At 48.6% G+C, this 24,932-nt stretch overlaps 1 protein-coding gene across 3 annotated transcripts in view, besides 4 other annotated features; it reads right to left on the reverse strand.

The window, feature by feature from the left end:
• The window catches only part of PLAT (plasminogen activator, tissue type), a 32,848-nt gene extending 9,945 nt beyond the window's left edge, over positions 1-22,903 (reverse strand). The window contains exons 1-7 of one of the 3 annotated variants that reach the window (NM_000930.5): positions 22,832-22,903; positions 8,452-8,549; positions 6,710-6,752; positions 4,272-4,409; positions 3,244-3,354; positions 2,736-2,910; positions 419-510 (exon numbers count right to left, since the gene is read on the reverse strand). In NM_000930.5, coding sequence (NP_000921.1) covers positions 419-510; positions 2,736-2,910; positions 3,244-3,354; positions 4,272-4,409; positions 6,710-6,752; positions 8,452-8,523 — 631 coding nt within the window. In that variant the 5' untranslated portion in view covers positions 8,524-8,549; positions 22,832-22,903. The remainder of the gene's footprint in view (positions 1-418; positions 511-2,735; positions 2,911-3,243; positions 3,355-4,271; positions 4,410-6,709; positions 6,753-8,451; positions 8,550-22,831) is intronic. The other 2 variants (NM_033011.4, NM_001319189.2) reach the window with 2 other exon arrangements.
• Positions 2,401-2,972: an enhancer, noted in NCBI's record as "H3K27ac-H3K4me1 hESC enhancer chr8:42044581-42045152 (GRCh37/hg19 assembly coordinates)". NCBI's record gives its function as "activates a minimal SCP1, AML or CMV promoter by ChIP-STARR-seq in naive H9 embryonic stem cells {active_cell/tissue: H9 hESC(naive)}" and the evidence as "EXISTENCE:reporter gene assay evidence [ECO:0000049][PMID:30033119]".
• Positions 2,973-3,543: an enhancer, noted in NCBI's record as "H3K27ac-H3K4me1 hESC enhancer chr8:42045153-42045723 (GRCh37/hg19 assembly coordinates)". NCBI's record gives its function as "activates a minimal SCP1, AML or CMV promoter by ChIP-STARR-seq in naive H9 embryonic stem cells {active_cell/tissue: H9 hESC(naive)}" and the evidence as "EXISTENCE:reporter gene assay evidence [ECO:0000049][PMID:30033119]".
• Positions 23,404-23,922: an enhancer, noted in NCBI's record as "H3K27ac-H3K4me1 hESC enhancer chr8:42065584-42066102 (GRCh37/hg19 assembly coordinates)". NCBI's record gives its function as "activates a minimal SCP1, AML or CMV promoter by ChIP-STARR-seq in primed H9 embryonic stem cells {active_cell/tissue: H9 hESC(primed)}" and the evidence as "EXISTENCE:reporter gene assay evidence [ECO:0000049][PMID:30033119]".
• Positions 23,923-24,441: an enhancer, noted in NCBI's record as "H3K27ac-H3K4me1 hESC enhancer chr8:42066103-42066621 (GRCh37/hg19 assembly coordinates)". NCBI's record gives its function as "activates a minimal SCP1, AML or CMV promoter by ChIP-STARR-seq in primed H9 embryonic stem cells {active_cell/tissue: H9 hESC(primed)}" and the evidence as "EXISTENCE:reporter gene assay evidence [ECO:0000049][PMID:30033119]".

Raw genomic sequence — 24,932 nt, forward strand, 5'->3', positions numbered from 1 at the left:
TAACTTAATATATATTTTTTCAATCTTGGAAGTTTTTTTTTTTTTTTTTTTGCATTAAAAAGTTTGAGAGGGAGCGAAAGAGAGACAAAGCCCCATTCACCCATTAATCAAAAAAGGGAGAATCTCCATTCATTCTCAAAAGGACTGAAAACCACTGATTCAGCCCCATCCTCTCCTCCATAGAGGAGGAAATTGAGGGTCAGAGTGTGAGGAGATCAGCTCCAGGTCAGACAAATAGCCAGTCAGAGGCCAAGCCCAGGCACAGACCTAAGTCCTGTCTTTCTTCCCTCTGCAACCAAAATGACTCACTCCTGGCCTCCCCCTTTCTCCCCTCAGGTGCAGGAGGGCTATCGGCCTGTCCTCCTGGACTTTCCTCCCCCAGGGACATTCAGGGAAAGGCGGGGTGGCTGCCACTTACCCTCAGAGCAGGCAGGGGTGCTGCAGAACTCTGAGCTGTACTTCCCCGCCTTAAAGACGTAGCACCAGGGCTTTGAGTCTCGATCTGGGTTTCTGAAAAATCAGCCAAGGGAAGGGCCAGGGTAGGTCAAAGGTGAAGCCTCTCCTTTAGGACCCAAGGACTTTGGTATCCTTTTCTGGAGGAATGGGGGGTGCTTTTTTTTTTGACAGAGTCTCGCTGTTTATCCCAGGCTGGAGTGCAGCGGCGCATCTCCTCTCACTGCAACCTCCGTTTCCTGGATTTGGGCAATTCTTCAGCCTCAGCTTCCCGAGTAGCTGGGATTACAGGTGCCTGCCACCATGCCTGGCTAATTTTTGTATTTTTAGTAGAGACAGGGTTTCACCATGTTGGCCAGGCTGGTCTTGAACTCCTGACCTCAGGTGATCCACCTGCCTTGGCTTCCCAAAGTGCTGGGATTACAGGCGTGAGCCACCACGCCCAGCCGGGAGTGCGTTTTTGGTTGTACACTGGTAGTTCTATCATGTTAGGCAGGAGTATGATTTTGTTCCTGTGTTTACTTGGAGGTGAAGGATGGTTTAAGGAGATGCACATGGGTGCCAAATTGACAAGGTGTGGACTGGAATAGTCTTATATGTCAACTTGGCCAGGCTGTGGCACCCAGTCAGTTAACCAAACATTCATCTAGGAGTTGTGAAAGTGTTTTATAGATGTGGTTAATATCTACAGCCAGTTGACTTTAGAAAAGGAAATTGTCCTAGATAATGTAGTTGGGCCTCGTCCAATCACTTAAAGGCCTTAAGAGCAAATATGAGGTTTCCTGAATAAGAAATTCTGCCTTAAGAGAGCAGCCTCAGCTTCTGCCTGCACTTCCAGCCTGGCTTACCAAGATGTTTCGGACTTGCCAGCCCCCACGATCCTGTCAGCCAGTTCCTTAACATAAATGTCTATCTATCTAGTGTGAAAGGAAAATAAATCTCAGGACCCCAACGTCATGAGCCAAGGGAAATGTCAAGCCGGGAACTACGTCAGGCAAACCTGCCTCTCATTTATTCCTCAATAAGATAGCTGCAAAGTTTTTTTTTTTTTTTTTTAATTCTCTACAAGGACATTCCTTGCAGGCCTAAAGATCTTTACCCTAAAACAGTTCTGTTGACTTTCACCTTGGCATTGTAAATGGATAGCTTATCTTCCCAGGTGCAGGACAGAAAATCATCCCTCTGCTCATCTGAGACAAATGCGTATCTGATTGCTTCCTCTGCCCTATTTTTTATGTAAAAATGCAGATGAACTGAGCCAGACTCAATTGTGTGTTCAGTGAAAAGCTGATCAAGGACTCAGAATACAGCCTTTTGTCTCTTATCTACCTATGGCCTGGAAGCCCTTGCTTCGAGTTATCCCAACTTTCCCGACCAAACCGATGTACATCTCACACATGTTGATTGATGTCTCATGACTCCCTAAAACGTCTAAAGGCAAGCTGTGCCCTGACAACCTTGGGCACATGTCCTCAGGACCTCCTGAGGCTGTGTCACGGGGGTGTCCTTAACCTTGGCAAAATCAACTTTCTAAATCGATTGAGACCTGTCTCAGATACTTTGGGTTCACACACATTCTCTCTCTCTCTCTATTTCTCTCTCCTCTTTCTCTATCTCTATCTCTCTATCATCTATCAATCTGTCTATCATCTATCTATCTATCATCTATCATCTTACATCTACTATCACCTATGTATCTATCATCTATCAATCTTCTATCATCTATCAATCTATCTATCACCTATCATCTATCATCTATCATCTATTTATCATTATCATCTATGTATCATCTATTTAATCATCTATCAATCATCTATCATCTGTCAATCTGTCTATCATCTATGTGTCTATCATCTATGTATCTATCATCTATCTTTCTAATCATCTGTCTATCATCTACCACCTATCATCTATCATCTATCCATCTATCATCTATCTACCATCTATCATCTATGTATCTATCATCTATTTATCTATCAATCATCTATCAATCTATCATCTATCTATCACCTATCATCTGTCTATCTGTCATCCATCTACCGTCTATTTATCATCTATCTATCATGTATGTATCATCTATTTATCTAATCTATCACCTATCATCTATCATCTATCAATCTATCATCTATCACCTATCATCTATTATCTGTCTATCATCTATCCATCTATCCATCCTGTATTGGTTATGTTTCTTGGGAGAACCCTGACGGATCTGACAGAATCTTTCCCCAGCTGTAGCAGCTTCTCACAGGGGGAATCCCTCCTTGGGGATGTGCCCTCACCTGCAGTAGTTGTGGTTCCCCAGGCCCAGCCTGATGGCGTCTGGCCTCCGCCCGCTGTAGGGCTTCTGGGCCAACGCGCTGCTGTTCCAGTTGGTGCACTCGGCGCCACTCTCCGCTGTGCTCCACGTGCCCCTGTAGCTGATGCCCTGGTCCTCGTAGCACGTGGCCCTGGTATCTGACAGAGAGCAGGGCATGGATGCCTCACATGGGAGTCCCCTTTCATTCAGCCCTCAGGAGGCTCCCCTCTCTGCCCCGTCCTCCCCCAGGCCTGATGCAGGCTGGCTCGGAAGCCACAGGCTGGGTGGCAAGGGTGCCAGCCTGGATTCAGGGTCACACCTAGGCTCTGCTTGCTGTGTGGCACTGTGCTTCCTGACCCATGGCAGAAGCGCCTTCCCTGTCCCTGGCCCCCACCCCTGGCCCTGCCATCGCACCCTGCCTTTCCTTCCGGGGGCGGGGGAGACTGGAGAGGTGGGATTTCAGCTCGTTTCACGTGCTCTCACCTACTCACCTATTTCACAGCACTTCCCAGCAAATCCTTCGGGGCACTGGCACACGAAATCTGAGAAGTACAGGGCCTGCTGGCAGGTGCCCCCGTTGAAACACCTTGGCTCGCTGCAACCTGTCAAGTATAAAAAAGGAAGCCCCTAATGACAGCCTCCTTCTGTGTGCTCAGGCCATGGTTCCAGGAGCCCTGTCTACCACAATCCACACACACTCAAGTCCTGCAGCGTGGAACACGCGTATACCAGTTCTGCATCCTACAAATACTGTTTTCATCCTGCCTTTGGTTGAAAAAAATCCATACATAAGTGGACCCTGCAGGTCAGACAAGTGTTGTTCAAGGGTCCCCTGTATTTTCAAAGCAGCTCCAAGGATGATGTGAGTTAAAATATTAAGAATGTGCTCTATGTGCCAGGCGCTGTTGTACAGTCTACAAAAATTAGCTAATTTAATCCTCACAGCAAACCATGAAGTGTGTACTGTTATTCCCACCTCTTTATAGATGAGGAAACTGAGGCAAGCGGGCATTTGCCCAAGGTCACTTGGTCTTGCTCCCTTTTCTGCTTGTACCTTCACCTCCGCCTAAGGCCGAACAGGCCTGGAGGCTCCTTTTGAAGATTTGAACTTTCCGGGGACCATGAAAGACAGGGTTCATGACTGGACCCCTGAACTCGAAGTCTCAGTTTGAAGTCGATTTGTACTGGGCTTTTCTGTGTTTTTGTTTTTGTTTGTGTTGTTTTGTTTTGTTTTAGAGGTGAGGGCTTGCCCTGTCACTGAGGTTGAAATGCAGTGGCACAATCGTAGATTACTGCAGCCTCCAACTCCTGGGCTCAAGTGATCCTTCTGCCTCAACCTCCCAAGTAGTTGGGACTACATACCAGGTCTGGCTAATTTTTTTATTTTTTGTAGAGACAGGGGACTTGCTATGTTTGCCCAGATTGGTCTTGAACTCCCGGGCTCCAGCGACCCTCCCACCTTGGCCTCCTAAAGTGCTGGGATCACAGGCATGCACCACCTCCCAGCCTCAGTACATACTTTTGACAGGCACTGAGTGGCACTGTGCCCTGCCACTGTTGCACCAGCAATATTCCACCCGGTTGCTTCTGAGCACAGGGCGCAGCCATGACTGATGTTGCTGGTATATCATCTGCGTTTTTTCATCTCTGCAGATCACTATGAGAAAAGACAGGCCAGCCTCATCAGAGTATGACTCAAAATGAAATGCCTCACTACCCTTGCACCTACTGAGAAAACTCCCTCACTTGCTTTCTATAGACTCCATTGCATACTCCCTTATTGAAGAGACACAACTGGAAGACAACAAGATAATGAATACTGGCCAAACACGGTGACTGATGCTGGTAATCCCAGCACTTTGGGTGGCCGAGGTGGGTGAATCACTTGAGCTCAGGAGTTCGAGACCAGCCTGGCCAACATGGTGAAACCCTATCTCTACTAAAAATACAAAAATGAGCCAGGCATGGTGGCAGGTGCCTGTAATCCCAGCTACTCAGGAGGCTGAGGCAGGAGTATTGCTTGAACCCAGGAAGTGGGGGTTGCAGTGAGCCGAGATTGTACCACTGCACTCCAGCCTGGGCGACAGAGCAAGACTCCATCTCAAAATAAAATAAAATAAATTTGCATTTCTTTTCTGAGTGCCATTGAGTATCTTCTCATATGATTTATTTATTTATTATTTATTTATTATTATTATTTTTGAAACAAAGTCTCACTCTGTCGCCCAGGCTGGAGTGAAGTGGCACAATCTCGGCTCACTGCAACCTCCACCTCCTGGGTTCAAGTGATTCTCCTGCCTCAGCCTCCCGAGTAGCTGGGATTACAGGTGCCCGATACCATGCCCGGCTAATTTTTGTATTTTTGGTAGGGACGGGGTTTCACCATATTGGACAGGCTGGTCTCGAACTCCTGATCTCAAGTGATCCACCCACCTCGGTCTCCCAAAGTGCTGGGGTTACAGGCATGAGCCACCGTGCCCAGCCTAATTTTTTCTTTTCTTTTCTTTTTCTTTTTTTTTTTCGAGGGTCTCTGTCACCCAGGCTGGAGTCCAATGGTGCTGTCTTGGCTCACTGCAACCTCTGCCTCCCAGGCTCAAGCAGTCCTCCTGCGTCAACCTCCCAAGTAGCTGGGACTACAGGTGCACACCACCACACCCAGCTAATTTTTAAATTTTTTTGTAGAGGCGGGGTGGGGTGGGGGAGGCAGAGGTGTCTCACTATGTTGCCCATGCTGGTCTTGAACTCCTGGGCTAAAGCCATCCTCCTGGATCCGCCTCCTAAAGTGCTGGAGTTACAGATGTGAGCCATTGCACCTGGACTTTTTCTCATTGTAATTCACCAAAAAATATATATATGCATAACTGTCTACCAGAGTTTTTTATCCACATAAGTATTACCACACAGAAATGATGCATTTTTGGCCCCAAAGAAAATTGACATTTTAGACTTTGCAGAAAATGTGCTACTTCTCCAAGTATTTTTGGCATAATGAAAATAGTTGAAGTACTCCCATTAATATTTTCATGCCATCTTTCTGTTTTCAAGCCAGAATGCCAACTTAAAAAACAACAACTTTACTTTCAATTAATTAAAGAAGTAGCACGTGCCCACTGTAAGTCAGACCCTTGCTGCTTCTGAGGTCACTGAGGCCAGGATAACCTGGTAGGAAGCAGGATGCCATCCAACAACGAAGGCATTAAGAGTCCAGGTGTGACTCGCTCTGGGGAGTGAGTCACCCTTTTTAACACCTTCACAAAGGGTATTGCAGAGTCTTCCAGACTCGAAGGAACTGGGTCGTGAAGGAGGGAAATCGAGGGCCTAAGTTGGTAGTTTTGGACCTGAAGCTGGGCCTCGCATTCCTCAGCCTTCTAGAGTCAACTCTAGATGTGGACTTAGAGACCCCACCATGTCGAGGGGTTGCCTGGGTGGGACATCCCAGTTGGGACATCCCGGTTGGATCAACAGAGGGAAATGGATACACAGGGATGTTGTTACCAAAGCTGCCGGTGCACTGTGGTGGGATCACAGCCTAGGATGAGACCCAGAGCATGGGCCTGGCCTCGGCTGTGACTGCCCTGGCCGTGCTGCTGGCGGCTGTGTGACCCTGGGCAAGCCACTTGCTCTCTCCTGGGCTCTGCCTTTTGATCTGTATAACCAGGACCTTGGGCCAGTGGCCGCCCCCCCCAGCCCCCGCTAGGTTGTGATCCCTGACAGCCTGGCTCCTTGGGGGGGAACACCTGTTTCTGCTCCCCTCAGAATCAGAACCCGCCCAGTGGCCGCAGCTGATGGGAGAATGGTGCCGACACAGGCATCTCTGTAGAATCATGCTGCAATGGCACTGTCACACCGTAGGCAGGTGGTGGGTGGAAGAAGGCAGGTGGTGGGTGGGTGATGCACCCTGCACCCCGCCCTGCCTCCCTCCCTGATGACCCCATGCACCCCTCAGCTTCACCCGACCTTGGTAAGATCTGGCTCCTCTTCTGAATCGGGCATGGATTTCCTGCGAAGAAACCAGAGGTGGAGGAAGGATCAGCACATGCCAGGTGTACTAAGAGTAAAGGCGGCCAACCCAGAAGCCCATGTGAACCTGCCGGCCAGATACCTCTGCTCAGAGACCCCCTCGGGTAACTGGCCCAAGTGAAAGTCCATCTCCTGCCTTCTAGTCCAATTCTTCCTCTCCTTCCTGACTGGCTCTGTCCAGAAGAGCTTTCTGCTTGGTGGAAATGTTTTCTGTCTGTGCTGTCCACGACAGAAGCCACACAGGGCCACCGAGTGCTTTGAATGTGGCCAGTGGGACTGAGAAACAATTTTTAACTTTAATTATTTTAAATTTAAACAGTTGCACAAGGTAAGTGGCCACCATATTGGGCAATGGAGTTGCAGCTGGCTGTCTACTCCACGCAGTCACCTGGCTCTCCCCGCTGTAGGGTCCTGTGGGAGAGGTGTGGTTAGTTTGGACTTCCGTGAGGCCCTTTATTGCTAGGCATTTTCAGAGAGTGTGTGTAGCGCTTCCATCTCAGCTAGAGAGTAGGCACCATGAGGGCAGTTTGCCTCTGCTGTGGCTCATGGCACTTGCATTGCCTTTTTCTTTTTTTTTTTTTTTTTTTGAGACAGGATCTCAGTTTGTCACCCAGGCTGGAGTGCATTGGCGTAATCATATCTCACTGAAGTCCCAACCTCCTGAACTTAAGCGATCCTCCCGCCTCAGCCTCCTGAGTAGCTGGGACCACAGGTGCATACTAGTACACCCGGCTAATTTTTAAATTTTTTGTAGAGACAGCATCTCACTATATTGCCCAGACTGGTCTCCAACTCCTGGGCTCAAGCGATCCTCCCACCTCGGCCTCCCAAAGTGCTGAGATTACAGGTGTGAGTCACTGTGCCCTGTCCTGCATTGTCTTTTATAAATACAGTCCACTTTGTATATCTGCAGGTTCCATATCTGTGGATTCAACCAAAACAGAAAAATAAAAAATAATAATATAAGCTGGGCTTGTGGCTCACACCTGTAACCCCAGAGTTTTGGGAGGCCAAGGCTTAAGCCTAGGAGTTTGGTGCTGCAGTGAGCTATGATTGTGCCATTGCACTCCAGCCTGGGTGACAGAGTGAGACCCTGTTTCCAAAAAATATATAAATAAATAATACAACAATAAAAATAACACAAATTAAAAAATACCTTATAACAACCATTTACATAGCATTAACATTGTACTAGGTATTATAAGTAATTTAGAGATGATTTAAAGTATACAGGAGGGTGTGCATAGGATATGCAAACTCTACACCATTCTATATGAGGAACTTGAGTATCCCTGGATTTTGGTATCCTTGGGGGTCCTGGAACAAATACCCCATAGATATGAGGGACAACTGTACTTTATGGATTAATTTGAATACATTCTTTAAAAACAGCTGCAAAAAAAGGCAGTCACAGGCAGGGAGTGGCATGTTAATTCCGCTTACTCAGGTCAAAATAAGTGCCTAGGGCCCAGCTACACACTGGGCCCCCAAATACAGAGTTTGCTGTACAGAAGGGAGTGTGTGCTGTGTGCTCCACAGCAATGCCAGCCCCTCGTCCCTGTGCCTCTCTGCTCCCTGACAGCATTCCAACCTCCGTGGCCCAGATGGACACAGACCCCTGGAGCCTCCGGAAGCATCACAGCCTTGAGGGGCGGGACACAGGGATCCTGCACACCAACCTGGCTGGGCGAAACGAAGACTGCTCCACACAGCAGCAGCACACAGCAGAGCCCTCTCTTCATTGCATCCATGATTGCTTCACAGCGTCCCTTAAATTCTGGAAGGAGAGAAAAAACAGCTTGATCACGGGGTGCGAGAGGTCCATGATGGCAACAGAGGAGGATAAGCCGCAATGTTGTCCTGTCTGGCTTCCTCCAGTGCCAGCCCCGCGGCAGAAACGCCAGACATGCATCTAGAAGAGGATTCTAGAAACTACATATTTTTTATTGTTGCAAAATATATATAACACAAAATTTACCACCTTAACGATGTTCAGTGCACAGTTCAGTGGCATTAAGCACGTCATATTGCTGTGCGGCCGGCCGTCACCACCGCCCATCTCCAGAACTTCTCCATCACCCCTAACTGAAACTCTGTAGCCATTAAAGAATAACTCCCCATTCCCCTTTTCCCCAGCAGCCACGCTGCTACTTTCTGTCTGTATGAACCTGACTGCTCTACATACATCCTAGAAGTGGAATGAGACAGTGTTTCTTCTTTTGCGACTGGTTTGTTTCACTTTGCAAATGTCTTCAAGGTGCATCCATGCTGTAGCATGTCCTTTTTTTTTTTTTCTTTTAAGATGGAGTCTCGCTCTGTCGCCCAGGCTGGAGTGCAGTGGTGTGATCTCGGCTCACTACAAGCTCCGCCTCCCGGGTTCATGCCATTCTCATGTCTCAGCCTCCTGAGTAGCTGGGACTACAGGCGCCTGCCACCACGCCCGGCTAATTTTTGTATTTTTAGTAGAGACGGGGTTTCACCGTGTTAGCCAGGATGGTCTCGATCTCCTGACCTCGTGATCCGCTCGCCTTGGCCTCCCAAAGTGGTGGGATTACAGGCGTGAGCCACCGCGCCCCCGCTGCCTTTTTTTCTTTTTCCTTTCTTCTTTCTTCTTTCTTTTTTTTTTTTTTTTTTTTGAGACTAGGTCTCGCTCTGTCATCCAGACTGGAGTGCAGTGGCATGAACATGGTTCACTGCAGCCTTGACCCACCAGGCTCAAGAGATCCTCCTGCCTCAGCTTCCCAGAGCTGGGACTTCAGGCATGTGCCACTGTGCCTGGCTGAGAGAGAGAGAGAGAGAGAGAGAGAGTGTGTGTGTGTGTGTGTGTGTGTGTGTGTGTGTGTGTGTGTAGAGACAAGGTTTCTCTATGTTGTCCAGGCTAGTCTCGAACTCCTGGGCACAAATGATCCTCCTTCCTCAGCCTCCCAAAGTGCTGGGATCAGGCGTGAGCCACCGCGCCCAGCATTTTTCCTTCCTTTTTAAAGCTGAATAATACTCCACTGTGGGATAGAACACATTTTGTTTATCCATTCGTCTGTCAATGCTGGGAGATAATTTTGCCCAGAGATTTCTGTGGGCTGAAGGGCTAGACCATTTCTGAGACATCTTGGCAGCCCAGAGACCACAGCGCTCTGGCTTGGTTTCCTGGAAGGGAATTCCTGCCCTGGGCTTGACTAGATGGAGCCGCAGTCATGTCCTCTTGGACTTCTGCAGCGGAAGCCATTGGGATTTTATTGCCAGCACATCATAGAGCCAGCCTGCCTTAGACTGCTCAGGTTCCTCCACGCAGGATGGAGCCTACTCCCCTGCCTGAGGTTCTCCCCACAAAGCAGAGGCCCCCCAACCCAACCTCCACGCCCACCCCCCCCACCGCTCTGCCAGAACATCTGTCTCCTTTTTCATAGACTGCAGCAGATCCGGCAATGTGCATATTTGCAGGAAGGAGGGGAGGCAAATGATGTTTGGTCGGAAGACTCAGATCTTCCTGGACCCCAGAGCCCCAGTTTCCATCTGCCTCTCCTCTGTGATCCTGCCCTCGGCAGCTAAAAGTAGGTTAGTCGGCCGGGTGTTATTTTGTGGTCTGGCGGCCTGTTCCCTCCTTCATCCACAAAAATTAAAGCATGGCATTTCTTTCCCTGACTCATTTCCCTTCGGTCACAACAACTTCAGGTCCCACCCTCCCCCTCCCCCTCCCCCGAGCGTCCTAGGGGCCTGGAGGCACAGGGGCTTCCAGGCCTTGCCTCCCTGCCTGGGTCCGGCTCTGGATCTTTGATTGTTACTTCGAAACGAACTCCCCCGTGGGAGGTGCTGATCACCCTCCTTGCCTCGCTACATTTCATGCCTGACAGATTCTCCCCGGGCTCCTGTGTCAGGCAGAGGAGCTTAGGGAGAGGGCGAGGGAAACCTGCAGGAGGCTCCGGGTACAGCAATTCCAATGAGAAAACACAGCTCAGAGGGAGGCTCGCCAGCGTGGCATCCTCTCAGCCTCCCTGCACCTGTCCCATCAGGAGGGAACAGAAGTGCCATCTCCAGCCTTTGAGCCCGCAGTGCCCAAGGTCTCCCTGGAGTGCGCTCTTTGGGTGTCCCTTTCTCCCCGGGAGGAAGCAGCTGTGCTACTCCCTGGCTCCAGGCAGTTTCAGAAGAAAGGGAGTCAGGAGCCAAGGCCACCCAGAACAGGAGTGCGGGGTGGAATCTTCTCATCACAGAGACTTACTCCAGATCTTCTCTTTCTCAGCTTTCCTCAAATTTCCTGTTTCTCAAAACTGCCCAAAATTCCTCTTAAATTCCCCTTTTAAATTTTATCCCATTACTTAATCTTGTAAAAATAGCTCATGTGAAACTCCCTCCCCATTTCTCCTTGATGTTCATGTATCTCTAGGTTGCCCCACTCCTTACTCTTAAGCAAGACCCAAGGATGGTGAGAGCTCCCACCTCACAGGAATTGTGAATGAAACAGCAAACGAGTGAGTACAAGGAACTTGACCTTCTTCATCACGCTGTCCACACCACCCAGCCCTCTCGATAGGCTCCTGCACCCCAGCCTGGGATACAGTTTGGGTGTTTTTTCCAGATGCCCACCAAGTTACTTCTTTATTTCAAGAACTCAAAGTCCTTCCAAAAGGAATGCAATCCCAGATGCCGGGAAACTGCAATGTGAAGAGTGCAGTATGGACATGTTGGCATTGCCTGGGAACATCCCCCTTTCTGGATAACTAGGGGTGGGGGGACCAGATGGAGGAGAAGCACGACCTAGGGCTGGTCCACACATACCACCCGCTGCATCATGTTCAACCCTTTTGCAACTGAACGGTCTGAATAAGAGATAAGAGAGCAGGAGCATATTTTTGTCTTTGCTCCTGAGAGAGTTGGAGACTTGTCTCTTCTCTTCCTTGGCTTCCCTGGACCTTCCTGCGCCTTGAGCTGATTCAATGCAAGTGAATCTCACCCCAGCAGGGCGATAGCTCTGTCCGCATCACACAGAGGCGATTCGAGCAGCTGAAAAGGCCAAGTGGGGTAAGAGATGACAAAGAAATGAGTCATCCGGCCAGCAGAAAAACAGTGCAGTCTGAAAACAAGAAAGAGCGAAGAGAGGGAGGAAAAATGAGTCCTTGTTTCGCCTTCGCTGAAGAGGTGGGCGTCGAGGTCTGGGGCCAGTGACGGGATGCAGAGCAGAGTGAAAGCCAGAACAATGGACTCAGACTCGGGACCGCAGGGCGTGGCTGGGATGGACTTTGGGCCTCACCAAAGGGAGGTCCATGAGTGCTCTGGCGAGACCCGGGTGAGAGATGACATTGGCGGAAGGGATGGAAGAGGCTCATTTTTATAAATAGACTTCTAATTTTGTTCTGTGTTATCTCCCTTTTGCTATATTTAGTAGCTTCTCAGGATCATCAAAGAACTGAAAAAAAAAAAGGCAAATGAGAAGAAGGAAGGAAGGGGGTAGGAAGGGAGGCACAGAAGGATAGAAAAGGAAAAAAAAGAAAGGATGAAAGAAAGGAAGGCCCCAAGGTTGGCTGACTTTTGCTGGGCTGGAATCCAGAATCACTGTATGAGAGGAGAGGTGGAATGCTGGTCCCCAAGACCCCAAGGCCTAGCCCTGTCAGGCCACCCTAGCACACAAAGTTGATTTTTGCAGATTTGCAAAAGGTACCCTCTCTGTTGGATGAAGTTCAGCAGTCTCAGGGCATGGCAGGTTGACAAAGAATCTGTGCAAATTAGAAAAAACAGAGTCCGTGGGTTGGCTGATAGAGTGCAGCCCGGATCTGAAGGATGTGTGTGTAGGCACCTGTGTGTAGGACACAGCCAGCATATCTGTGCTCGGCCAGCCCTGTCTGCTTCCAACCTGCATGTGCATCCTGCAGAGCAGCTCTGACCTTCCTGCCTGGAAGCCGTGTTTGGTCTGTTGGCTGTAGCAACCAGAGTGACTCTGTTCCTGGGCCCTGCCAAACAACCTGTGAATGATGACTGTTCTTGGGGAAAACGGGAACAATAGTCTGGTAACCAGGAAGTGGGGTACCGTGCTGTAAGCTCACTTTCCTGGGAGATGTACTGTTTCCCAGAGCCAAGGATGCATGCCGTTTTGGCTGAGAAATTGATGATCATGCCAACCAGAAAGGTGGTGTTCATTTCTTTGGTGGCCACATGGGGAAATGATGGTCGATGGGCACCAGTGAGTAACTGATTCTGGATTGGGCACAGCCCCTGGAAAGGAGGAGGCCAGCTGGAGGAGGGACAGGGGAAAGTCAGTGGGGTGCTGTCTCAGTGCCTGTGTATTACATCCCCCTCTATCTGCCTCTACCGGCCCCATCTTCCCTCCATAAAAACCAGCTCCTAGGAAAGGAACTAATCAGCTTGTTCGCATAAGGTAAAAATGACTGAAAAATAATTAATGTGCTGTCCTTCCAAAAAGCATCTATATTTTGAGGCATAAAATCTCCTGCCAGCAATGCAAAACCAAGTGGGCTGGATGCTCCAAGGTTGCCTCCGGTGCTGACATCCTGCGGTTTCTGTTCTGTTGTGAGAACATACGACATGGGGAGTGTCACATGCAGTATAAACTGGGAAACTCTTACAAATGGCACTATAGTTCTATTGTTTAAATTATATAGGAAAGCGAGGCCACATGAGGTGGTTCACGCCTGTAACCCCAGCACTTTGGGAGGCCAGGGTGGGAGGATCACTTGAACCCAGGAGTTCGAGATCAGCCTGGGCAACACAGTGAGACTCTGTCTCTGTTTATTTTCATATAAAAACATTTTAAAAATAGATTATATGGCCAGGCACAGTGGCTCACACCTGTAATCCCAGCACTTTGGGAGGCCAAGGCTGGCAGATCTCTTGAGGTCAGGAGTTCAAAACAAGCCTGGCCAACATAGTGAAACCCCATCTCTACTAAAAATACAAAAAAATTAGCTGGGCATGGTGGCGGGCGCCTATAATCCCAGCTACTCAGGAGGCTGAGGCAGGAGAATCGCTTGAACCCGGGAGGCGGAAGTTGCAGTGAGCCAAGATTGCGCTACTGCAGCCTGGGCGACAGAGCAGGACTTCGTCTCAAAAAAGATTATACAGAAAAGTGACTTGCAATAAAGGAACTGTACACATGTAGTCAATCAATGAAATTGCAAACAGTGCAGTCGCTCCAGATGTTAGTGAACTGGAGAATTATAGTCTGTACTCTTGCCAGCAAGAAGAAGGCAGAAACGTGAGCAAGCTAGAGGAGGAGGGAAATTGCAAGGGAAAGACAAACGTAAATTGATACTATTATCAAATGTTGCACCATGTGCAAAGTTTGCTACATTTATCTTTGGTCAAGGAGATTCTTAGGTTATTGTTGCTTAGCAAAAGGTCTCTCTGAAAACCTGAGCAAGAGAAAGTCAGTCTTCAAGAGTACCAATACCCTAAAATGACTCATGGATTTAAAACAACACACTCTCCACTGCCACCCCCGCCACAACCACCATAGCCCAGATGAATGCCAACAATTAAGAAAAGAAACGGCCAGGATTCCTTGGACCAGCAAAGGCACGTTTCTAGAGCAGGACGAGAGCTGAAGTGAGATGCTGGGAGAGGAACTAGCCTTGGAAAGGGTGGCGTGCTCCCACGAAAGCAACCCTTTGTTCGGGACAGGAGCTTTGAGCCTGGTAGCTCTCATCCCACTTCTCCAGGCCCTGCATAGTACAGAGGCCATGATCTCAGAATAAAAACCACTTTCAAAAACTACCATCACATAAGTAATTCTTAACTTTTCGAAAAGGTGATTTTCTATAGGCTAAATGGTTATTTTCCCTCTCTTAACAGAACTGTTTATAACTAGGGGAGAAGAGAGGAAGAGTCTGTTTCTTATCTAATTTCACCAATTCCAATGAAGTGAAGAGTATAGCATCCTCTCAGAGCTGGGTGTGGTGGTTTGCACCTGTAGTCCTAGCTACTCAGGAGGCTGAGGCAGGAGCATCACTTGAGGCGAGGAGTTCAAGACCAGCCTAGGCAACATAGCAAGACCCCATGTCTTCAAAAGAATAGAATATTTTCCTGGCAGACCCTGCCCCCCACCCATCAGAGCAGAATTTTCTCCAAAACATCTTCCAAATGTAGGCATATGGCCTGTGTCTAAGCTATATGGAATTAAACTCAGAAAAAGCTACAGCAGGCATGTCCAGCTGTCATCTCCTCAATGCTCCACCCTCTGCCTGGTAATCCCGGTTATTTGGAGGAGTGGGGAATTTTGGTTGTGGGTCTAGGAAAACAGAAGTCTATCCCGCCTCCTCCCACAATCAAAACAGAAGAAACCCTGTCCTAATACACTTAGATCCTTCTGAAGCAAACACAAGGACCACCTGGTGAAAACTAAATCAGTCAGTGCAATAAAATGTTAACTGCAAAGTCTGCATCTAAACAAGCCCTGAAATCTAAAGTGAATCGAAATGAATGTCATCTTCCGTGATGAAGGTCGTTCGTTCCTCATGTTCCTTCCACTCCCTAAAGCAAACATCACCACAAGGTAATTAAATACGCAATGATTTGACAATTCTCCAGCCCAACTCCACATTTCAACACACTTGAATTAGGAAATACTGATCAGAAACTTTCATTGTATCATTATATGACTTTACCCACATTTTACTGGCCTTAGGTGAAAGTGACATTATTGTTGCCTGAGAAATGTACACATGGATGAATGCCACTCACTCAACAGATATTTGAGTAGCTTCTACCTTTCCAGGCACAGAGTTTACTAAACCCTTTCACATCCATTAAGTCATTTGAGGCAATATTATTACCTCGTTTTTACAGATGGGAGAACTGAACTTCAAAAAAGTGTAAGGGGCTGAGAGCAGTGGCTCACGTCTGTAATCCCAACACTTTGGGAGGCTGAGGAGGGTGGATCATTTGAGCCCAGGAGTTCAAGATCACCCTCGGCAACATAGGGAGACCCTCGGCTGTACAAAAAATACAAAAATTTGCAAGGTGTGGTGGCTCACATCTGTAATCCCAACACTTTGGGAGGCCAAGGAGGGTGGGTGGCTTGATCCTTGGAGTTTGAGACCTCCCTGGGTAACATGGCAAAACCCCATCTCAACAAAAAAATACAAAAAATTATTTGGGCATGGTGGTACATGCCTGTAGTCCCAGCTACTTGGGAGGCTGAGGTGGGAGGATGGCCTGAGCCTGGGAGTTTGAGGCTGCAGTGAGCTGTGATCATACCACTGCACTCCAGCTTGAGACAGAGCAAGATCCTGTCTCAAAAAAAAAAAAAAAAAAAGTATAAGCGTCGTGCTGTACGGTGACACATCTTGTGAGAGTTGGCATCAGGACTCAAGCCCAGGAGACACAGTTCTCTTACCCCAAATCTAACACTCTTTCCACTACTCCTCACTGTCTATGTGACACCCAATTGTAACTTTTTTTTTTTTTCTGAGATGGAGTTTCACTCTGTTGCCCAGGCTGGATTGCAACGGTGCAATCTCAGCTCACTGCAACCTCCGCCTCCTGGGTTTAAGCGATTCTCCTTCTTCAGCCTCCCGAGTAGCTCGGATTACAAGTGTGTGCCACCATGCCTGGCTAATTTTTGTATTTTTAGTAGAGACAGGGTTTCGGCATGCTGGCCAGGCTGGTCTCGAACTCCCAACCTCAGGTGATCTGTCCACCTTGGCCTCCCAAAGTGCTAGGATTACAGGCGTGAGCCAACACGCCTGGCCATAACGTTCTTAATGTGTTCCACATGGTATACGACAGCAGAATGCCACAAAGAAGGGGCGTGGTCACTGGATTCTCAACCTGGAAATCTAACTGCATTTACAGCACACATTCTGTGTGGGCAACTCACTCTCTCTGAGCCTGTTTCCTGGTTTTTGTCATGGGCTAATCATTTCCGTCTTGCTGAATTGTAAGGTAACTGGAAAAGAAGCAGGAAAGTCCTTCCCCCACACCTGGGTGCACGGCAGGAGCGACCTGCACCTACTGTCATGAACATCCTTCCTCAACAAAAGCACTGAGGCTTCCCGCTTCTCCCTGGAACAACTTGAAGCTGCTGATGCAGAAGAGATGCCACGCTTCATGGGGTCCTCATGGATCCCCGTTAATACTGAATCCTGCTTCCTAGATCATCCGACCACCTGTGTTAGCCTATAACCAATTCTCTGCAATTGATGTAGAATTTTGTGCCTTCATCTGTGTTCGTAGAACAGTATCAACAGGAGCCATTATTTCCTGAATACAGGGTGATGTCTTTAATCTGGTTTTTAATCTGCTTTTTTATTTGCCTTTCCCACACCATGCATGCAGAGGCCACTGTGGACTCCCAGCAGAAGCCAGAACTAGCAGCTGAGATGACACAGCTGAGACATCAGGCCATCTCTATTGATAAGGCCCATCTGACCAAGCCACACTATGAAAGTCAGAGGCATCATGTGAGAGAAATAAGGAAATTGGAGCTTCCCAGAAAAAAACCCTTCGCTTTCTCTCAGTAGCCCAGGTGTTAGACACCGGCTCTTGCTACAACAAGATAAAATACAACGGGTTTCTCTTTTTGGTGAACATGACAGAAAGAGAATAACCAGCAGAAATCAAGTTGACCAGTAGTCTCTCTTTCTTATTTATTTGTTTTGAGACAGGGTCTCGCCCAGTCACCCAGACTGGAGTGCAGTGGCGTGATCACAGCTCACTGCAGTTTCAACCTCCCTGGCTCAAGTGATCCTCTCACCTCAGCTTCTCAAGTAGCTGGGACTACAGGTGCGTGCCACCATGTCTGGCTAATTTTTTTTTTTTTTTCATTTTTTTGTAGAGACAGAGTCTTCGCTATGTTCAAGACCCGGGCTGGTTTCAAACTCCTTGGCTCAAGCAACCCGCCCACCTCGGGCTCCCAAAGTGCTGGGATTACAGGCAGGAGCTGTGTGCCCGGCCTCTGTTAGCTCATCCATACTGGGTTATCGGGTTTAGCATCCCCTCCCAGTCCCTGTCCCCTGCCTTCTGGAGACTCAGCTGAAATAAAAACTGCCCACATCAAGAGTCCCATCTATGGGGCTGGAGAAGCTGCAGGGATGTCCTCCTCCCAGCGCCTACCAGACCCCCACCCTGCCCCCCCAGCCCTCAAGCACCCACATGAGCTGCTTCTCTGTTAAGCATTCACAGACAATGATCTACCCATGCTATATATTCACCATCAACGTGTATGGAGCACCAGCCGTGCCCTGGCACAGGCTCTGGTGATGCAAAGACACAGCTCTTATCCTGAAAGAGCTCATAGTTAGGAAGGGGCCTGATGAATAACTAGACACTCAGGGTACAGCAGAGCAGCGCCATACCACGCAGCAGGGTGGGGACGGGGGTGGGCTTGGAGTGGAATGTGGAGGAGGTTGTCCATCCCAGGCTTGTTGAGGTTGGGGTGGTCAGGCAGGCTTTCTGGAATGCATAACACAGAAGCTGTTCCGGGAACACACGAAGGAGTTAGGCAGACAGTGAAGGGGTCTGCTCCAGACAGAGCACATCCCCACGGCTTGGCTCTGGGCCACAGCAAGCACAGAGCCCCCTACCCATCAGCACAGCTCCCGACAGCAGGCAAAGGTGACAGTCGCCCCCGGGCTCTTCTGCCAGGGTGTCCTGGGAGGACGTGTGCTTTGGAATCTCTGAGTGTTCTAAGGATCTAGGGGCCTTTGTAGGAGTCCAGCATGGATTCTCTAATGCCTAGCTGTATGTTAATGGAATAGTTGTGACTACATAAAAAAAACAAAAGGCTCTCAATACACAGGTCTCCTGGTATCTGGGTTCAGCCTAACCTGGAAGTGATCACTTCAGAGGCTCCAGGTGGAATCAGATCTTCTGATCAATCCTCAAAAAAACTTCCCTAAGCCACCAGTGCGTGTGTCAGGAGCATCGCGTGGTCACCCATGCACATCGGCTGGGCCTGTTAGCCAAGTCGCTGCTGGGTCTTGGCCATTGGTGTGTGCAATTCACAGCCGGGCAGCTGCTGCAGACACCCAGTCATATACTTGTATAGGAAGAACAGCTGGCTAGCATTTCCTGGCAGCCATGATCAGCACCACAACTCAGGCAAAGTTGAGTTCAAAAATGTTTCTAAAACACTTGCTGTGTGCCCAGCACCTGTTTCATCTTCACTCTGTCACAGGTGTTATTTTTGAGTGGATCAAGAATTGGGTTTATCTGTCCCTCTATCCCATTCTACAGAAGTTTCCCAAGTGGCATACATAGAAAATATTTTTTGAATATATAATATGCAAAATATCACTAAGAGGGACTGGGCACAGTGGCTCTTGCCTGTAATCCCAGCATTTTGTGAGGCCATGGCAAGAGGGTTGCTTGAGGCCAGGAGTTTGAGACTAGCCTGGGCAACAAAGCAAAACTCTGCTTCTACAAAAAAATTTTATAATTAGCTGGATATGGCAGCATGCCCCTGTAGTCCTAGCTACTTGGGAGGCTGAGATGGAGGATCACTTGAGCCCAGGAGTTTGAAGGTTCAGTGACCTACGATCACACTGCTGCACTCCAGCCTGGGTGATGGAGTCAGACCTTGTCTCTAAATTATATATATATATATATATATATACACACACACACACACACACACACACACACACACACATACAAACACATATTGCTAAGAGAATGTGCTGTCTTTTTATGTAAGTAGAAAACTGAGCCACTATCGGAAGACCATGTGGCTTGACTTAGGGTTGGAGCAGGGTGGATGAGCTTTAAATTTATTTCTAGCTCTAATTTTCTTTGAGTCTAAATCATCCTCACTCTTTTACCTGGTTTGATGTGAGACCCACCATATGGTTTTGTGAGCTGCTTGACTAGGACGAGGTTTATAGCCTGACACTATAGACAGACATTTTCTCCCGTATATACAAAAGAAATGGCCCCAAGAAGGAATGAGCAGAATGCACTGGTCCCTTATTGTCCGTCCCAACAATCTCATCAAAGCAGAAGCGAAAATCACTCAGAGAAAGTAAAAAATTTATTCTGAGACTGCAGGTGCATAATGCCAAATAATCAAAGAAAAACCTGTCTGGGCATGGTGGCTCACGCCTGTAATCCCAATACTTTGCGAGGCCAAGGCGGGCAGATCACTTGAGGTCAGGTGTTCAAGACCAGCCTGGCCAACATGGTGAAAACTTAGCTGGGTGTGGTGGCGGGCGCCTGTAATCCAAGCTATTTGGGAGGCTGAGGCAGGAAAATCGCTTGAACCTGGGAGGTGGAGGTTGCAGTGAGCCAAGATTGTGCCACTGCACCCCAGCCTGGTGAAAAAGCGAGACTCCATCTTAAAAAAAAAAAAAAAGAAAAGAAAAATTGGCCGGGCATGGTGGCTCATGCCTGTAATCCCAGCACTTTGGAGGAGGAGGGCAGATCACGAGGTCAGGAGTTCGAGACCAGCCTGATCAACATGGTGAAACCCTGTCTCTACTAAAAATATAAAAATTAGCCGGGCGTGGTGGCTTCAAGTGACACTACCAAGGTATGAAAGGAAAATAAATCTCAAGACCCCCAAATCACTAAGCCAAAGGGAAAAGCCAAGCTGGGAACTGCATGAGGCAAACCTGCCTCCCATTTTATTCCTACATAAGACGGCTACAAAGATAAAAGGCTACATACCTCTCTCACAATTTACCCACAAGGAAACTCCTTGTGGACTTCAAGATCTTTACCCTAAAACAGTTCTGCTGAACTTCACCTTGGCAATGCAAATGGGTACAGGACAAAGGACAGAACTCAAAGTCATCCCTCTGCTCACCTGAGACAAACGCATATCTGATTGCTTCCTCTGCCCTATTGTTTTTGTAAAAATGAAGATTCAGGCCAGGCATGTTGGCTCATGCCTGTAATCCCAGCACTTCGGGGGGCCGAGGTGGGTGGATCACCTGAGGTCACGAGTTCAAGACCAGTCTGGCCAACATGGTGAAACCCTGTCTCTACTAAAAATACAAAAATTAACCAGGTGTGGTGGCAGGCGCCTGTAATCCCAGTTACTCAGAAGGCTGAGGCAGGAGAATCACTTGAACCTGGGAGGTGGAGGTTGCAGTAGCCGGGATCATGCCATTGCACTCTAGCCTGGGCAAAAAGAGTGAAACTCCGTCTCAAAAAAAAAAGTAGATTCACTGAGCCAACTAAGGCATAAGTGACTCTTCCTCTGCCCCCCTCTCATATGTAAATTGTGTATTCAGTGAAAGGCTGACAAAGACTCAGAAGAATGAAGCCTTCTCTTATCTACCTATGACCTGGAAGCCCCTACTTCGAGTTGTCCTGCCTTTCCAGACCGAACCGGTGCACATCTTACATACATTGATTAATGTCTCATGTCTCCCTGAAATGTATGAAACCAAGCCATACCTTGGCCACCTTGGACATATGTCCTCAGGATCTCCAGAGGCCGTGTCACATGTGTGTTCTTAACATTGGCAAAATAAACTTTCTAAATTGACAGACCTGTCTCAGATACTTTTGGGTTCACAAAGGAGTGCCTGACTGTTTTTTGGAATCCTTTGAAATCTACTGGCCGCTGGCTCTGCTCAGCAACGTCAGGCCCTGGGGGAAATCAAAGCCTCAGTGAACTCAAAAACCAACAAAGGGGAACTGCTATTCCCAGCTATTCCCTGGCTGCCTGGACTGTCCCAGGCCTGTGATGAAGCAGGGGGAGCCGCAGACACTGGGAGAATCCGACGCGAGTCATTGTGAAATAAACCAAGCTGGTCTTGGGGAGTCGGGCAGAGAAGGAGCATTTTGGAGACAAGGGCAGCTTTCATTTGCTCCTGAGATTTTGATCTGGGGCTTTATCATTTGATCCAGAGCTTGGAGGCTTGCATCTTTGAGAACATTTTAGGTGGAATAAATGGGTGGGCAGGATGGAGCTATTCATATCTCAATACTCACAGTGTCCCTGCCAGTGCTGGAGTCCGACTCTGCCTGCACAGGAAGCACGCACCCAGCAGCTCATGCTGACCGTCATGGATTGAGTCTAGATCCCAGAATGAGCGTTCTTGCCACAGCAAGTACTGCTAGGAAGTCACCTTTGAGGGGACTCCACCTGACAATGGTATTTGCAAGACCCCTTCCCGGGACTGCAATGCACACGCATACACACACACACGACATTTTTTCTGTCATCAAGCAGCTACAGGAGACCACCATATTATTCCCAATTGGCCACCAAACACATCCTTGTTACCACACTTCTTTGAGCTTGAGTTGTCATTAGTTACCTGGGACCTCGGCGTGTTTTCGTCTTCCCTCCCTCCCTTCCTCTCTCCCTCCCTGTGAGGTTAAGAAAATAAAGATAATAACAGTGAAAATCTGGAGAACCCCACATGCTTCCTGCAGAGTGCTTTAGGAATAAAAGACATTAATGTCAGTTTTTTCCCCTGTAATTAAAATGTCCTTTAAGGAGGACTGCACACTTGACTGATGCACCCTGGGCAAAAAGCCAGAGGGCCAAACTGACCTGTGGAGACTTGTAGGGGTGGCACCTAGGGAGATCAGAGGCATTTCTCTATCCCACGGGGTAATGTGGGGTGTGAAAGCCACCTGCTTCTCTCTCCCAGCACCTAGCAAATAGTGCTCTGGAAGTAAGTCCCCCTCTGCCCCATCCACAGCCTCAGTTCCTTTCTGGGGGTTCATCGGGGGAGGGAGGAAACTAGGGGACCCAGCGGGCCCTCCCAGCTGTCACAGGCACGTGTCCCAAGGCAGCCGATTTTGCTTTTATTGCTTGCTCGTCTTGAGGTACTCCCATAGGCTATTTGGGGCTTTTCTGTATCGTTCTTTTCACTTTCCCCTTTACTCTGTCAGCAGAGGCTTCTCCAATGAATGCAACCTCCCTAGTCTCCCTTTCCCCGACTGCCTCTCCCCTCCAAAACACTCCAGCCTATCCCAATCACATGCAAATGCAAACAGACATCTCCCCTCTGGAGTGGATTCTAGCGGATCCTCTAGTTGCCTGAATTACAAAGTTGGTCCCTTGGTTAAAGCATTCCTTCACTGGCTCAGCTTGCTGGAAAGACTTTTAAGAGAAAGAAGAGGAGACAGACCCCAAGGTACAGAAACCCGACCTACCACGGCTTGCTCCTTCCCTTTCCTCGCAGAGGTTTTCTCTCCAGCCCTGGACTCCTGTAGGATCTCAGCTCTGAGCTCCCCACAGCTCCGGCCTCCTTTAAGTTTCCAGGCAGGGGGTGGGGTCGGTGGCCCCGGCTGGGCGGGTTTCTGTGTGGCGGGAGGATGCTCAGTGGACAGGGCCATGAGGGAGCTGAGGCAGGCCTGTTTTTATAAAGCAGGGGGAGGAAGTTCACGGTGGAAGCAGCACAGCCCATCCTGGCTTCGGGCCAGGCTGATTATTCACAGCCGTGATGTCATTGAATCGCAGGAATTTGGAAGTGGGATGGGACCTTAAGAATCATCTTCCTTTAGAGTCCTAGTGTCCCAGGCTTAAAAGGGACTTTCAGGACCCTGTGATGACAAGAAGTGTTTATAATTCTAAAGGCAGCAGGTTGGGGCTGGGAGTGGGGTGTCTTCTGGAATCTGTGGCTGTAGCTCTGGCCTCTCAGGACATGAGAGGTTAAAAGGACTGGAGGATGCACAAGGATTGGAACACTTTGTGTGGTGGCGGGAGCTCAGGGGGGTAGCCACTGAGAAGGCAGGACCAGCCTTGGGCTCACCTGCGGTAGGAGGTGCCCCCATGGGGGTTTGCTCCGGTAGGCATCTTTGGCCCTGTTCTGTAATTTTAGGGAGAATCTTTCTCTTCTTTGTAAAGTGCAGGGCTGCAGTAGGTGGCCTCCGGGGACTTTCCGGCTCCAGCATCCCCTTGAGTGGGCCCAGGGAATATACACAGGGCCTTGGGGCCAACATGCCTGAAATTCGATCAAAGCCATCAGCCCTTAAGCCCACCGAAGCCTTTCAGTATTTGCTTGTAAAATGCCCCTGGAAATAGACAAGCCATTTCCCTTGCTGACACCTTTTCAGATGACTGAGAAATAAAAGCCCTGTCGTGTAGGGGAAAGTCTTAGGTTTAAATCCGGCTGTGCCAGTAACTGGGATATGACCTCAATCAAGATTTTCAACTATGCTGAGCTCTGGCTTTTGCATCTGCAGGTCACGTGAGGATCAGAGAGAAGCCACGCATGTCAGGGCCCTGGCACATCACAGGGCTCAGCAGGAGCATCTATCATCATTGGTTCATGTCTGGCTGAGACCAGACCTTGTAAAAATGAGAGAGAGGTGAAAGAAAGAACGCAGGGAGGGAAGAGAAGTTTGGCAGAGGAAATTGTGGGATGACCGACTATTCAGGAGAGGCCAGATTTCATACATTCTGATCCTAAATATACTCATATTTGTCAAACCATGAGTGCTGAGTTTGAAGTTGAAAGGCACCTAACTGCTTTTCACATTGCTTTCAAACTGTTTTTCACATTTTTATGAAGCTGCAGCCCTGCTGATGGTCATTGTAGAAAAGGGGCACTGGGGTGGGTTGCCTGCTGAGCACGGGAGGTAGACCTCCCATGAGCAGCAGCAGCTGTGGGCCTGTCTGGTGGGCATGGGGCTGCTTTCCTGCAATGTGGTCTAAGATGGTGAGGATGGAGGCTTTTTTGGGGGGTGGGGCATTGCCGTTCAGCAGGGAGTGCTGGTCATGAGGACTCTCATTTGAACTCTTGAGAGGATGGTTTTCCACTGAATGGTTGCACTTAAATCCTGGATCCTGAACCTCTATGGAAAACAATATGGAGATTTCCCAAACTAAAAATAGAACATCCATTTGACCCGGCAATCCCACTACTGAGTATCTATTCAAAGAAAAAGAAATCATTACATCAAAAAGACACCTGCACTCACACGTTTATCACACACAATTCACAACAGCACAATTCACAATAGCAAAGGCACAGAATTAACCTAAGTGTCCATCAATGGAGGACTGGATAAAGAAAATGCACATATACACCGAGGAATACGACAAAGCCGTAAAAAACAATGAAGTCTGTCTTTTGGAGCAACATGGATGAAACTGGAGACCATTATCCTAACTGAAATAACTCAGAAACAGAAAGTGAACAACCACATGCACTCACTTATAAATAGGGGCTAAACAACGGGAGACTGAGAGGAGAGGGTTTGCAGATCATTAGCAGGGGCCCTGAGCTTTGCTGAAATATACCCGAATGAT

The sequence above is a fragment of the Homo sapiens genome, chromosome 8, assembly GCF_000001405.40.
Source record: "Homo sapiens chromosome 8, GRCh38.p14 Primary Assembly".
Taxonomy (NCBI): Eukaryota; Metazoa; Chordata; class Mammalia; order Primates; family Hominidae; genus Homo; species Homo sapiens.